This window comes from Homo sapiens, chromosome 2, assembly GCF_000001405.40.
Source record: "Homo sapiens chromosome 2, GRCh38.p14 Primary Assembly".
NCBI lineage: Eukaryota > Metazoa > Chordata > Mammalia > Primates > Hominidae > Homo > Homo sapiens.
Window position 1 is genome coordinate 109,667,071 of NC_000002.12, and position 15,583 is coordinate 109,682,653.

Sequence of the window (15,583 nt, forward strand, 5' to 3'; positions counted from 1 at the left end):
TTTCAAATACACATAGATCATAATCTAAATATATCCCAGTTTTTGTTTTATTTTACTTTTCAGCCAATCCTGAGGCATAAGAAACATTTTAATTCACTGCACATTCCAAAAGCCTTGCAGAAAGCCTTGCCATTTAAGAACAAGCCCAAGACCCAAGCAAACGCAGGCAAGGTGCTGAAGGACAGGCAGAGACCAACCATCATAAGCAAGCCTCATGAAAGGAAGGTCCTGTGGCCAATTGACTGCCATTTAGAGAGGAAAATAACACTCTTGGCAGCACACTTTGCATTTCTACTGTAACTCAGTTTTGATCAGGAGGGGATGAGACCAGAGTTATTCACGGCACTAGAACTATAGGTTAGAGGCAGGGCTGGAGTCTATTTCCAGTCCTTTGCTTGGCCGTGTTCTGCCCTGTGCATTTTAATGTGGAGTCATAGGCATGGCTGGGGAGCCCTTCCTCCTGGTTAGTGGCACACAGAGCCCATAGAATGATGAACAGAGGTGGTTTTGCGGTAAAGGTAAATGTGCTCACACCTGTATCTCCATGCCAACAATGATTTCCTAGCTCGGGATGCATTTTCAAGGCGTTAACATTCATTTGGATCCTGGATTGCCTCTATCTTGGATTCCATCAGCTGACATGCCTGGATGGGAGTGTGCGGTGTCTGTGAGAGTATTCTGATGCTCGCCAGGTTTTGTCCCTGTCAGATCCTTGCACTGCTGGATGCTCTGAGTACAGTGTGCAGTCAGAGGGTGCAGAAGGCCAAGAAGCAGCAGCACCTGCAGAATAAAGAGCATTTTAAAGCACTCCTCAAGCAGAAGGAGAAGCTGAAGCAGCAAGAGGACCTCAGAAGAAGCTCTTCTGAATTCAGGGTCAGAGGGAAAGAAGAAGCCAGAAATCCAGTCTGAAGAGGGCTGAGGAGCAATTGCAGTGAGCCTTTGGAATGGGAAGGCTGGCCATAGATCTGCAGAAATGGATGATTTCAAACACCACGGTGCTTGTGAATAACAAGTCAGGGGGCGAGAGCCCAAGAGATGTTCCTGTTGAACACATCATACAGACTGTGCCTTTGAGAGGAGAAATGAAGCCTGCAATTGCAGGACCCGGGTTCATTTTCAGCATCTGGAGCTGTCAAGATTTAAAGTGATGTAAACTATGGTTATGTGGATTCTCTTACTTTTTTCTGCCTGCCTCAGTTTAATTATTTTGTACTATAAAAATATAATTAAAACATTTTCCTGTTAGTTTTGGCTTAGTGGGTTTCATTAGGGGTGAATGTTAGTGGATTGTGGATAATTGTTTATCCTAGAAAAATACAATAAAATCATCACCTCAAAGCATATATACTTGGGAAGCTGAAAACTACAAAGTATTCTCAAGTCAATACATCACAGAAGGCATGATACCTATATAAAGAAACAACAATGAAAATCCCACAGGCAACACTTGTGCGATGCTGCTGAGGGACTACCAGAGAAAGTGGGACTCTAGGCTGTGCCTTCAGTGTGCACATATGAGAAATGAAGATGGAATGGATGTGTCACATTCTAATGCAATCTAAGAAAAGAGAAGAAAGCAACCATGTACATACAGAAAGCAAAATGAAGGAAATGATCCAATTTAAAGATAATTTGATGACTATAGGCCAGTTTTGCTTATCAACATTACAAACAATATTGAAAATAAATGTCAAAGCAAATGAAACCAAATAGATATTTGACACTGGGAGATACAAAATGAGAGCAGGCACATGGAACAATTGGAACCCTCCTAGCCCACTGCTAGGACTATAAATCAGAAAGGGCCATTATAAACACTTCTTAGCCAATGTTCTTGCATTCATGAATGGGAAGGATAAAGCTGGAGTTATCATACTACTTGACTTCAAAATGTACTAGGAAGCTGCAGTAACCAAATCTGCATGACCATGTCCTGAAAACAGACAAATAGATCAATGAAAGGGAATAGAGGACCCAGATATACATGCACAGATTTACAGCTAACTCATCTTTGACAAAGACACCAAGAAAATACATACAATGGGGAAACGTCATGCACAAGAAGGAGACTAGACTCCTATCTCTCCTCATACATGAAAATAAAATCAAATGGATTAAACACTTATGCTGAAGACCAGAAACCATGAAACTACTAGAATAAAAACATTGTGGAAACACTCCAAGACACTGGTCTAGGCAAAAGTTTTTGGTTTAAGACTTCAAAATCACAGGCGACCAAAGCAAAAACAAACAAATGAAATTCTGTCATCCTAAAAAGCTTTCAGCACAGCAAAAGAAACAACAAAGAAAGGAGACGACACACAGGAGAAACAATATTTTCAAACTCCCCACCCCTGAAGGGATTCATAACCAGAATATATAATAAGCTCAAACAACTCAATACCAAAAAACCTCCAGAAAACCAAAAAGAATCTGATTTAAAAATGAACAGAAGATCTGAATAAATATTTTTTGAGAGAAGACACATGGAACTACTGGAACTCTCTTAGCCCCTGCTAGAACTAGAATTCAGAACGGCCACTATGAACACCTCTCAGGCAATGTTCCTACATTCATGAATGAGAAAATACATCTAAACCAGAGAAGGCCTCAAGATAACCTCCAAGGTTCTGACAACCCTCACCGCCTCTGGCTCTTTTACCGGCTCCCTGGCCAGCAGCCTAGGCCTGGACCCCTCCCTCAGGGCCACAGGAGGTGAGAACCTTGATAGTGCACCCAACCTGCTCCCCGCCATGGGCAGCACATCCACAGGTAGCACCCCTAACCAGTCGCCCCACCCCCCGTGCCCTGGATAGCACCCCCAACCCACTCTATGCTGCAGGCATCAGGTGCCCCCAAGCGACCCCCCACCACGGGCAGTGCAGCCTCTGATAGTGCACCTACCCCACCACCTTTCTACCACCCTGGCCATGCTGCAGTCTCCGTCACAGCCAGCAACTGCAGTGAGGCGAGCCACGATGCCACAGGCTACAGCCTCCAGGGTGCGGCAGACGGTTCCTCCTCTTCCTCCTCTAAGCCAGGCACAGAGTAGCTGGGCTACAGCTGCAGAAGAGCCTGGAATGGTGGGAAGCCCCCTTAGCATCCTTCACATTCTGAAAATATGCAAATGAGGTTCCTGGACTACATGTTCTGATTGGGTGAGACAAAAACCTCTAGGCCTATGCCCCATGGTGGGGGACAGGTTAGGGATGCTACTGGGGGCTATACTGCCTGTGGCAGAGTGGGGGTGGGGGTGGGGGTTGGTTGGGGGGTGCTATTGGGGGCCAGACTGCCCCTGGCGGGGGGCTGGTTGGGGATACTATCTGGGGTTGCAGTACCCACAGCAGCTCATCGGGGAGTGGATTGGGTGCGATAACTTGGGCACAACTGCCCGAGGCAGATGTTGGGCTGGGGGCACTATTGGGGGCTATGAGGATTAAGGGCACTATCAGGGACTGCACTGCCAGTGGCGGGTGGCAGAGGCAGCAGTGACAGCAGTGGCCTCCAAGGCAGGGGCTGTTCTCCTCTCCCCAGACTCCAAACTCTAGAGGCTGACCTCGTTCTGCTGCTGCTGCTCGAAGCCAGTGGGGTGCATAGCATTTCCATGGGAATCCTGAGCATGGCAGGGCCCCCACACCTGCTGTGGGTCCAGGGCCTGTGCCCTCTTCCTCTGTGTTGCAGAGACAGCCTGGGATCTCTGGGCATGGAGTTGGGGGAATCACAAGGGGACAGGGCCCTGTGGGTGGAGGCATCAGGAATGGCAACCACACTTCGGTTTGGGGGTGGCTGGGTCTGAGTTTCTGCTGCTCCTGCTCCCCAAGGAGTGCAGCCTCAGTGGGCCCAGTGGTTCCTGTGGCTTGGGGAGCTGGGCACTATGGTGTCTCCAATCCCCACCCCAGGCCCCAGTGCCTGGCCAGCTTGGGCCAAAAGGAGAGGCTGGACTTCGGAGGGTGGGTGTGAGTGCCTTCGCTGAAACTGGCCCCTGCCACCCAGTGGACAGCATGACAAGGTGATGCTGTAACGCTACCACTTCCTGCAACCTGGTCTAGGTTTTTCTGGCTTTGCCCACACTGCTGCTTCCTACCAGGAGAAGGAGGATCCACCTGCTGGATATTGGAGGCTGGAGGCTGGAGCCTGTGGTCCTGCAGCTTGCCTCGCTGTGAGTTGGTGGTGGTGACAGAGACTGTAGCATGCCAGAGTGGTAGGAGGTGGCCAGCTGCAGCCAGGGCAGGGGCAGGGCTGTGGCAGTAGCCATGTGGTAGGAGCCTTGTAGGGAGGGCCGGTGCATTGAGGGTGACAGCAGTGGTGGTTGTATTGGCATCAGTGCCAGTGGTGGCAGCAGCAGCAAGTCTGGGGGCTGGGAAGGGGGAGTAGGAGCTTCAGGGTTCGGCTGGCCTGGCATAGGTAGGAAGCTGTGGTTGCTGCACCATGGGCCTCATTGGAGGTGCAGCCAGGGCAAGGAGGAGTCCTCCCCCTTCTCCTGGAGAATCTGGAGGGTGCCCTCCTCCTGCTGGTGCCTGAACCAGGCATGAGTGGAGCATTATCTCACTCTTAGCAAAATTTAAGGGGTGACAATTTAGGGGGTGTATCTTTTTTATTGTTTTTTGTTGATGGTCTTGGACTTTTTCAAATTTCATGAATCAGGAAGGGGAAAAAAGGTATGGCACCTGAGCCAGCCATGAGTGTAGCATTATCTCACTCTTAATGAAATTTAAGGGGTGTCTATCTTTTTGCTTGTTTTTTTGTTGATGGTCTTGGACTTTTTCAAATTTCATGAATCAGGAAGGGGAAAAAAGGTATCTTATAGGCCATTTGATTCCCACACCTGTTTTTCCTACTTTCTTCCAGTCTGTTTTTTCTTTTTCTCATCACCATCATCTAGTTCCTCTTCATTCGCTTATGCTCCTGCTTCTATTTCTTGTTTCTATACTTTCTCCTCCTCCTCCTCGTCTTTTGTTTTCTTTTTCCCAAGCAATGACCTTAACAAGCAACAAACCAAAACTGAGTTAAAAATAAACTACTCACCAGTGTGTTGTATTTTTAAAATATTGGTCCATTACCATGTTTTAGAGATGAGGAAAAAAATTAGTTGCATAATTATTTAGTTCCTTGAATAGCTATGCTTTCCTGTTAATGCATTGTAAGTTGTTATTCAAGGAATCAAAAAATGAAGCATCAAATAAAATATTGGTAGCAAACAGCCATTTCATCTCTCTCACATATTAGTCTGGAGATATGCAAGAGGCAGGGTGGGTAATAAGTTCCACTTTATGAGATCATTGAGTGAACCATATACCCTTCATTTTATTTCTCTGCCACCATTTTCAAGAGTATTGCCATCTGCATGAGCAAATCTGGTTCATCACCACATCTTTGCAACAAGAAAAGGAAGCGGAGGATTATGTATATAATTGTTTTAAGGCCAAGGTTAATAACCAAAAACAAGGCTTTAGTAACTGTTGTCTTTAAGAACCTGCAGTGTTGGGCCCTCTTTTATTCCTAGTGTTACGTATTATTACCTTCGGTATGAACTGTTTTTTTAAGGGATTTCTCTAGAAGTTTATGCATTTTATTGACTACTTTAAAGAAACAAGTAATCTATATTGTATCATTTCTTTCAAGACTACAGAAATTTATAAGGCCGGTAATTTTGACACTTTTAAATTATTTTAAGGTTATGACATGTAAATACTGTTGATATATGTACAAATATGCATAAGTATCAATAGATAGCTTATTTTATAGAGATAGTGTCTAAATTTTTGTCCAGAGTAGATTGGTTGCAGTTTCTTAGGTGTGTTTCTCAATACATTGCCTCAATGTTTTAAAGCATATAGAAATTTGAATACTGCTAAACCTCATTTAGTCCTTTGTTTATAGGTTGTTTGATATTACTAAAGACATCACAGCCCCTCTTGAGATTCAGAAATAATAAAACTTGAGATATATAGAGTTAGAATCCAACAAATTCAGAGGAAAATTGTTCAATTACGTAGCTGTAGAGCAGGAATGAAATCCAGGTTCTAAGCTCTAAGGGGGCCGTGAGCTACCATACAGGTGCCTCGGTGACTGGGCATAGAGTCAGCAGAATTACGGGATGGTTAAGAGTGAGCTGTGGAGCCTAACTCTATGTGAACATGAATTTTTAAACTGTATGGTGCCTCAGTTTATCCATCTTTACAATGGGGACAGTACTAAGTGTTTCTTTTTCTTCCCAGTTGACTGAATTATTTCCGTAGTAGGTCTTGTTGCCAATCTTTTTGCCCACATGAGAGGACCTAAGGTAATTTCTGACAGCCTGGGATGCTTTGGGAAAAACAGAAGGTGCCACAGACCCCATTTTGGGAGAAACCTCTGTTTTTCTCATGGAACCCCAAGAGCTGTAAACAGACAGGTCCCTCTCAAAATCTAAGGCTCTGCTCTGTTTTGCCTTGCTTTACCTGACCTTTTTGATTTGGGTGGGCATCAGAAATTAGTAGGGGAGAGACAGCTAAAGAAAGTTGTGGATGTGGGCTGGGTGCAGTGGCTCATGCCTGTAGTCCCAGCACTTTGGGAGGCCAAGGCAGGTGGATCACCTGAGGTCAGGAGTTCGAGACGAGCCTGGCCAACATGGCAAAACCCCATCTCTACTAAAAATACAAAAATTAGCTGGGCAAGGTGGTGGTTGGAAGAAGGAGAAAGAGAGAGGGAGGGGAGGTGGGGAGGGGAACAAACAGTTTTCCCAGATAGCTATACCCATTTACCCTGTTATCAACAATGTATGAGAGCTCCAGGGATCTCCATTGTCTATATTTGATATTTTCAGGTTTTTTCCCCCTTCATTTTGGCTATTCTGAGTGTGATGCCATAGCTTCTAGTGGTTTTAATTTGCATTTTTCTGAAGACTAATGAGGTTGAGCACCTTTCCATGTATTTATTGGGCAGCTGAGATACTATCTGTTTTGTGAAGTGCCTGTTCAAGTCTTTCACCCAATTTATTTCTACTGGGTAGGTTCACCTTTTTCTCATTGGTTTGTTAGTATTATGTTGCAAATACCTTTCACATCCTATTGGCCTCCCCAGCACTCCTTTAATGTTGTTTCTTGATGCCAGCTTCTTATTTTATGCTTAGTGCCTACATCCTATTTTAAACAATAAATGTTGAAGATAATTGTGCTTGAATTTAACAACCCCCCCCCAAAATGAAGTAAAATGGTAGAAACTGCTGAATTTCAGAAAAATATTTCCTCATCACAAAATATACTAGCGGTCCCAGGTACTTGGGAGGGTGAGGCATGAAGATCGCTTGAGCTCAGTAGTTCATGACCGGCCCGGGAAACATGGCAAGACCTTGTGTCTCCAAAAAAAAAAAAAAAAAAAAAAAATTAACCGAGCATGATGGCATGTACCTGTAGTCCCAGCTACTTGGGAGGCTGAGGCGGGATTGCTTGAGCCCAGAAGGTTGTGAGGCTGTAGTGAGCTATGATTGCACTGCTGCACTCCAGCCTTGGCGACAGAATGAGACCCCATGTCAAAACAACAAAAACAAGAAAAAAGAAAAAAAATATTAGTTTCTAAAATAACCTGCTAAAATTAAGGAAAGGGTTTATGAAAAATATTAATAAGTAGTAATGATTTTATGTGTTTCAATTACAGGCAGTATCTACTAACTCCTTGTTATGAATAAGGAAATTGACATTCTTACATTTCCTCTTCCCTCCTCTCCTCAGCCCCCTGAGTTTGCTAGCTTTCTCCTGTCAAGATTTACATTTTATTCTGAAACCATAATTTCTTCCATAGTGTAGCTTTAACTATTTGCTTACATGGAGTCATCTCTCTTTCCAGTCTTTTCCCCATGGCTTCTCCCTCACTTCATGTCTTATTTTGCTTCATCTCTTAGTTGGCCAGACTTCATTTTCAGCTACTTTTTTTCTTTTAGAGACAGGGTTTCTCTCTGTCACCGAGGCTGGAGTGCAATGGTGCAATCATAGCTCACTGCAGCTTTGAACTCCTGGACTCAAGGATCCTCCCACCTCAGCCTCCCAGTAAGCTCGACCACAGGCATGTGCCACCATGCCCAGCTAATTTTGTATTTTTACTTTTTGTAGAGACAGGATCTCACTATGTTCAACTACATTTTTAAAGGGCCCTGGGTGCTGTGTCCCTCTGTCTGATCTTGAAGAATGTTTGTCTATCACCGTTATACTCGAAGGACAGCTTGGCAAAGTGCAAAGTTCTCAGACCAGGCTCACAGGCAAGTTCTTCCTGGTATACTAACAGCACCACTTTCTGAATCGAATCCGCAGAGGCAGAGGGCAAACCCTTAGCAGAGATGGAAACTATGGCAACTGGCCAGGTGCGGTGGCTCATGCTTGTAATCCCAGCACTTTGGGAGGCTGAGGCAAGTGGATGGTCTGAGGTCAGGAGTTGGAGACCAGCCTGGCCAACATAGTGAAACCCCGTCTCTACTAAAAGTACAAAAATTAGCTGGGTGTGGTAGCAGGCGCCTGTAATCCCAGCTACTTGGGAGGCTGAGGCAGGAGAATCTCTTGAACCCAGGAGGCGGAGGTTGCAGTGAGCTGAGATCCCACCATTGCACTCCAGCCTGGGCAATAAGAGTGAAACTCTGTCTCAAAAAATAAGAAAAAAGCAAAAGACAAAGAAAAAAAGAAACCGTGGCAACCTCAGTTGTAGCCCAGGCCTCCTTCCTTCCTTTGCCTTTCTCGTCCTGCCACTCTGCTGAGGGTGGGTCTGTTTGACAACTGTGGAGCAGAACAACTCCAGGCGGCCCCGGCCCTAAAGCACACTCCTGTCCCCACCCCAGGGTGTGTCTGGGAGGGCCCAGAGAGCTGTTGTGAGGTTCCACCTCGAAATGGACTGTTTGGTTCCTGTAAGAACAGAGGGAGCACGTGGATCAGTGAGAGCACCATAGCCAGTGAGGAAGACTAGATCTATGCACCCGCGCTGTCCACACGTTCATTCCTTCAACAGACACCGGCATGCAAGGTGGCTCCTTGTAACATCCATCAGTCTTGCTCTGTGTGTGAAGCGCTCATGAGAAGCCTTTCCCAACCAGCTGGTAGGACAAGAGCCAGAGGGCCCCTGTGCCCTTCCCTCTTCCAGCCCCATACCCATGCGCTGGGAGAAGCCCTTGCTTTTTGCTGACTACCACGTCCACACCCTGGAAGGTGTGAGTGAGCCTGGGAGCCGGGCTCTCCGTTAGCACCTCCATCACCCTTTAAAGGGCAGCCTTTCCCAGTGCCCGCCTCCACTGTCACAACGGAAGTGCTCTCAGGCCCTCCAACTCAGTAAGTAATTTTGCAGAGTGCCCTGTAATTGTCCTGAATGCAGAAGCCAGATGTACCTGACAAGTGCAGACACATTCAGTGCACCCATCTGCGGGGCGGGCTGCTCAGTGTTGTTGAGCAAACTTTTTCCTAGTTCAGCACTGCCAGGTAGAAGGGCTGGCTTTGCCTGCACCCTGAGATGACTGAGGCAGAGCAGACACAGGGAAGCTGGCAAAGCACCTCGGGGCAGCCACCACAGGCTGGGAAACTTGCTGAAGGAGGGGTTGTGCACTGCCAGGGACAAGAAGTAGGTTTTTGTCTCCCTGAAATAAGGAGGCAAGCCAGATACTATCCACACAAGTGCTTTGCAAACTGACTCAGCATGCCAGATAGCACAGTGTGAATTTTGAAAAGTTTAGTCCTTCTGTGAGCTCTGCCACGCCCAGCATCAGAGGCTGCTCTGAGAATACGCTCTCAGACAATCTTCTTGAGAGAGGGTAATGGGTTTCTCTTTGGCGTCTGTCTATCCATCTAGCCATCATCTATGTCTAGATACGGCACCACTTTTGAAGGTAGACAAAGCCATCCTGGTGTGAGATTTGAATTTGAGAAAAAAATGTATTTTTTTTTCCGAAGCTGGAATGTCATGTCTGAGGTTTTCCACATTTGCCCCACACCTCACTAAATAACAACTTCTCCATGTTCAGAGGTTTGACACCCGATGGGCAGATGGGCCCTTGCTCCCTTTGTTTGGCTGGAGCCCTCTCATCAGCACCTCCTCCTGTCTCCTCCTGTGGGAGTTTACTTGGCATCACCTCCTCTGGGCACCTTTCCCTGCCTCCCAGGTAGAACTGGAAGCTCCTCCCCTCACTTTTGTCACCAGCCAGCCAGGAGTCAGTGGGTGCTCCCCACCCTTCAGACCTGGATAGGACCCATTCAGATCCCACCACCCAGCTTCTCAGACTGGAGTCAGTGTCCTGCCCGACGTTTCTCTGAATCTTGGGGGCAGGGGGCTTGTGTTCTCAAGGTCGCCTTTGTGCCAATTTTCAGCCTTGGTCAAGCTGTTCTTTGTCCCTATCCGTGACTTTTCCTTGACCTCTGCCCTGGCATGTACCCAACAGAGCCCCTTCTCTTTGATCACTGCTTCCATGGTAACAGTGAACAGAATTCTGCTGGGAGCCACAGAATGTTTACTGAAGCTGTATGGGTCGCCAGAGGTACTTTTAAAAGCAAAGCACTTAAAAATCCATATCACTCTTGAAAGTGGTCCTCCAGCCAGGCTTTCTCACAGCTGGGCCACCTGTGCACGTCCTGCCTTCTCTTCCCCTCTCTTTCAGTAACTCCAACCACCAATCCCTGTCTCTGACAACAGCTGTGCCCTCGTGAACCAAATTGTCGTGCTCCAGAAGTTTATCCAGATCTTTCCTAAATAAAGCCAAGGCCTTCCTGAGGAAGAACTCTGAGGTCAACTGTTGAGATGATACAGTTTTTTGTTTGTTTCTGTGTCTTACTCTAAACCAGGCTGGACTCCCGCTGAAGGCAGAGACCTCAACTTTGGATTTCTGTATCCCCGGTTCCTGGTAAGGGGATTTGTAGGCGCTCAAGAAGTCCAGCTGTCGCAAGAGTGAATGCCTGTGACCAGAGGGGACTGAAATGGGCATCAGGCAGTGCACCCGTGGTGGCTCCCGCAGCAGGGGGGTCGCACCCCACCGCCTGTTGCTAGGAGATGATGGGCTTCGGAAGGATGTGCAGTGTTGCATAGCAACACCTCCCCACTGTTCCATCACTCAGAATGGACAGCACCAAGCAATTCTTACAGCAAGAGTTTTTTGACCTATTTCAGCTAAAAGCAGGAAAGATCTTTCTGTCTCAGCTCAGATTATATAATTTTTTAAAGGATCACAAGAGCAAAAAATACGGAGGATCCCCAATATTCACACCCAAGAACTACTTTGTTGTTAGCAGGTTAACCTGTGTATCAGAGGGACATTAGGAGGATTGCCAAGAGTTCACAGCCTGCCTTCTGCTCCCTGCAGGGACCCTTCGCTTAGCTGTAGCTGGCTACCCACTGGGCCTGGGGTGCTCCCCACACCCCTCCTGCATGCTGGCTTGGCCCTACCAGGGATCGCAAAGCCCAGCTGGTCACCAAAGACAGAGTTGCTCTCTCAATGTGGCTGATGTTTTTCTAACCAGCTTAGCCCAGAAAGAACATTTGGATTCATTGCCCATCTGTAATGCAGAGAACCTTTGTATATACTTAAGTTCCTTGAAATATTTGCACTGAAAAAGGCACACATGAATTTAAGAGTCATAAATGGGACCAATTTCCCTGAACTGTGCCCAAGAATGTGCAGTGCATGCTCTGTGACTGTTTTTCCTTTCCTTCTGGTAACTACTAGCTTCCACATGGGAGAAGGTTCGCAGGCGGTGGGGTGTCCAGGCTGCACGAGTGGCTGAAGAAGAGCTCCCTGCTAGTCTCTGTGGGTACAGAGAAGGCCCTATGTGGCCGTAGAGCCCTTGGAAGCTCAGCCTGCTGAGAGCGGTGCTCACCAGGTTCCACTGAAGCTGAACAGCACTGGAGCTAGGAATGCAGGAAGGAGGCGCTGCCCACACCCTGAGCTCTCAGTCTGGCTGGGAAGCCGGCAGTAGCTGTGTCCTATAAAGGCACCTCGAACACTGGACAACACTGTAGCTCATGCTTGAATGAAGGTTCTCTAACAAGTGTGTTTCCTCCGGAAGGCACATCACAGCCTTCCTGCACTTACGAACAATTAGCTCTTCAGCACTCTGCCTGGGGACCACACTAAACAGCAAAATCACCACCCAAAAGCACAAAATGCAAAAAATGTGGCACTAAATAGACCAAGAAAAGACCCTGTGTGCAGAGAACAACAGGCAGAGCCTTGCCTTGTTTGACCGTGGCAGGGAACTGCATGTCAGGCAACTCACATTTTTCACAGCTTTGCACATGTCTGCAAATGAACACAGAAGCACCATGAGTACTCAGTTTTGGGGTTACAAATGCGTTTTAGAGAGTAGGTGAATTTGCAAATGTGGAATCCATGACTAATGTGGATCACTATATTATGTATGTATGTGTGTACATATATGGCATTGTCTATGAAAGTTGAACATGTACACACATACATTTCTGTGCATATGTGTGTATTTAAAAAGTAAAACTTAAATGCATTTACACCCACCGGCTCCAGGATAGATGAGGAGGCATGACCCTAAGGCTCTCCTCAGTGCTGCCTTTTCCAGCTGCCTGCAGTAATCTCTGGTTACTTGGCTTCAAGACTCCTTAGAGTAGAAATTTCCAAACCCCACATTGCCTCAATCAGACCATCCTTGCTTATATAGCAATTCCCAGGGCATCTTGTTACAAATGGGTCCTAACTCCATTCCTGACCTACTCAAACAGAATGCAAGGGAGGAAAGGCTGGAGCCTTGGAATGTGAATGTGTACTTAACACAGTTTACAAAGCTCACAATTCAAGTTTGAGAATCACTGTGAATAAGTTTCCAGCCAGCTGGAGAAATCAGTGGCTGACACTGTTTGACCCTGAGACAAGAGGCAAATCGCCAGTGTGGACCACCCTGCCCATCTTGTGAGCAGACGAAATCAGTCAAAAGTGTTGTATGCTTCGTGAAAGACAGCGGGCAGTTTCGTTTAAAGCTGGGTAACCTAGAGAGAAAAAATAAAAATAAAAATAAAATAAAAGAGGGCCGGGTGTGATGGCTCACACCTGTAATCCCAGCACTTTGGGAGGCTGAGGCAGGCAGATCACGAGGTCAGGAGATCGAGACCATCCTGGCTAACATGGTGAAACTGTCTCTACTAAAAATACAAAAAAAAAAAAAAAATTAGCCGGGCATGGTGGCGGGCACCTGTAGTCCCAGCTACTTGGGAGGCTGAGGCAGGAGAATGGTGTAAACCCCGGAGGCGGAGCTTGCAGTGAGCCAAGATCACGCCACTGCAAGAGATCACGCCACTGCACTCCAGCCTAGGCAACAGAGCGAGACTCTGTCTCAAAAAAAATAATAAAAAAAAAATTTAAAAAAAGATAATAAAATAAAATAAAATAAAAGAATTGTGTGTGCTTAATGAGAGGGAAAAAATAATTAAGCTGGAAACTCAGGAAAGGTTATGTAACATCCCTGTGTCTCATGTGTAAAGTGAAAGTAATAGTAGTTATCTCTTAAGGTTGTCAAAAATGTTAAAAATGTGTGTTGAGCAGCACTTCCCATGTGGGAATAGTTAACAACCACTTATTATTATCACCATCACCTGTTTTCCCCTGGCGCTGAGCTGACCCCCAGGGCAGGCTGTTTCCTCGTGCTCACTTTCTCAGCCACCGGAATCTCACCTTTTTTCAGACCTTTCCTGTTTCAGTCTGGATGTTTCTTTTTCAAGTGATTACTTTGCAAAAAATTGTATTTAATAGAGAAGTAGGACTGTGCACCCACCTGGATGGCTGCTATAAAAATGACAGCACCCAGTGTTGGCAAGGACGCAGAGCAAGTGGGGGCTTTGCTGCTGGAAATATAAATTCCACTTTGTCAAACTTGTTGACATTATCTATGAAAGTTAAACATTCACCCACACTGTGACCCAGCAATTCTCCTAAATTCATAGATACAGTCCCTGAAAGACATGTACAAGAATACGATTTGTAAAAATAAAAAACTAGAAGCAAACTAAATGTCCATCAACAGCAGAACTTGTATCCCCACAATGGTGGACAGTAAGCAGCTAGTGTGGACTAACTGCAGTCTTCTCGATGCGGAGGAATCCCATGAACACACGGTTAGGTGGGAGGAGACAGACACTAAAGAATGCATACTGGGTGGTTCAATTTATGTGAAGTTCAGAAAGAGGTAAAACTACTAATGTATGAAGTTAGGACTCCAGAGGAGGGTTTCTCAGAAGGGGCGCTCGAGACTGGAAAGGGGCGTCTAAGGATTTCCAGGTTGTGCTCAGCAATGTGCTGCTTATACGCATGCCTGTACCTTGTGAAAATTCTTATTTGTACACGTATTCAAGCACTTTGCTAAATTTACATTACATTTCAGTAAAAGTTCACATTAAAAAAGAAAGGCAGGATTATGAAGATATCTTTGGTTGGAGGTGGGGATAGATGTTTAAGATGGAGAGTAATGAAGTAGCATTGAAAAATAGAGGAGGAAACTTTTAGGTGAGTTTAAAAGAACATTTTACCTTTAATGATTTTTAAAAGGCTAAGCACAGAAACCCAAGAATTCAAAGAAAAGTGGCAATGAGTCCCACAGCACCGAGGCTGGAGAAGCATAAGGGGGAGGCAGGGCCCTGGGTGGTCTCAGGAGACAGCAGTGAGGCCAATAGAGGTCATCTGTGGGGTCCTGGCATCCCCTGGGAGGGCAACTGGCCCCAACATGTCCCCACAGCCTGATCTGTGTGTGTGCTCTTGCCCGGCATTCAGCCCACAGAGCTTCATGGAGCACTTACCATGGGCCAAGAGGCTCTTCCCGCTCAGCGGAGACCAAACTCCCTGTGGGACTGATCTACTGTGTTCTCTGGAGTAGAGAGGTGGCCTCTCTTCCAGCATCTCCCAGACTTGCCTGTGTGATGGCATCACTGAGGCACTTGCTGTAAACACGGGTTCCCAAGCCTGTTACCTGGAGGTTGTGATCTGGTTGGTCTGAGGTGGGGTCCAGGACCCCAGGCTCTTCTTTCAACCAGACTAGTTGAGGAAACAGTACTCTCATGCAAGGGGATGTTCTTTTGAAAAGAATAAACACATTACTGTAAATGGTGAGATAATGTTTTGAAAATAATCCAAGATATTGTCAAAATATAATTTCCTGTTGGGAAAAAGGAAAAGGGGGAGGGACCCTGACAGTGAGCCTGGCAGTAAAGTTGCTGGATAGAAACACAGGATGCCCAGGTAAATGTGAATCTCAGATACACAATGAATGTTTTAGTATAAGTATTTCCTAACTATTGCACGAGATGTACTTATAATAAATTTCTTGTTTATTTGAAATTCAGACATGGCTGGATACTCTGTATTTGCTAGATGGGGCTGCCTCTCCAGAAAGGGCGGAAAAGGCTTTGGAAATTTGCTCCAGCTGTCTGTGAGTGGTGAAGGGCCACAGGGAACTTCACCTGAAATATGGCTCCCTGGTATGGTATTTTGAATTAAAGGCCCTTAGGGATCAGCAGATGGTAGAAGACACTTTTTCCCTACCTACATGAAGACGGGTCAGACCTGCCAAGGAGAAAAATTGTTCCCCAAGTACCTCTGGCCCCGTCCCTTTGTTTTCATTAACTGAAC

At 46.2% G+C, this 15,583-nt stretch overlaps 1 protein-coding gene and 1 pseudogene across 1 annotated transcript in view, besides 1 other annotated feature; both read left to right on the forward strand.

Annotated features, from left to right (window-relative positions):
• Positions 1-15,583, forward strand: part of RANBP2 (RAN binding protein 2) — a 1,122,820-nt gene that overhangs the window by 947,589 nt on the left and 159,648 nt on the right. The gene's annotated exons all lie outside the window — the stretch shown is intronic.
• Positions 62-1,309, forward strand: BMS1P19 (BMS1 pseudogene 19; annotated as a pseudogene).
• Positions 4,034-4,534: an enhancer, noted in NCBI's record as "H3K4me1 hESC enhancer chr2:110428681-110429181 (GRCh37/hg19 assembly coordinates)". NCBI's record gives its function as "activates a minimal SCP1, AML or CMV promoter by ChIP-STARR-seq in naive H9 embryonic stem cells {active_cell/tissue: H9 hESC(naive)}" and the evidence as "EXISTENCE:reporter gene assay evidence [ECO:0000049][PMID:30033119]".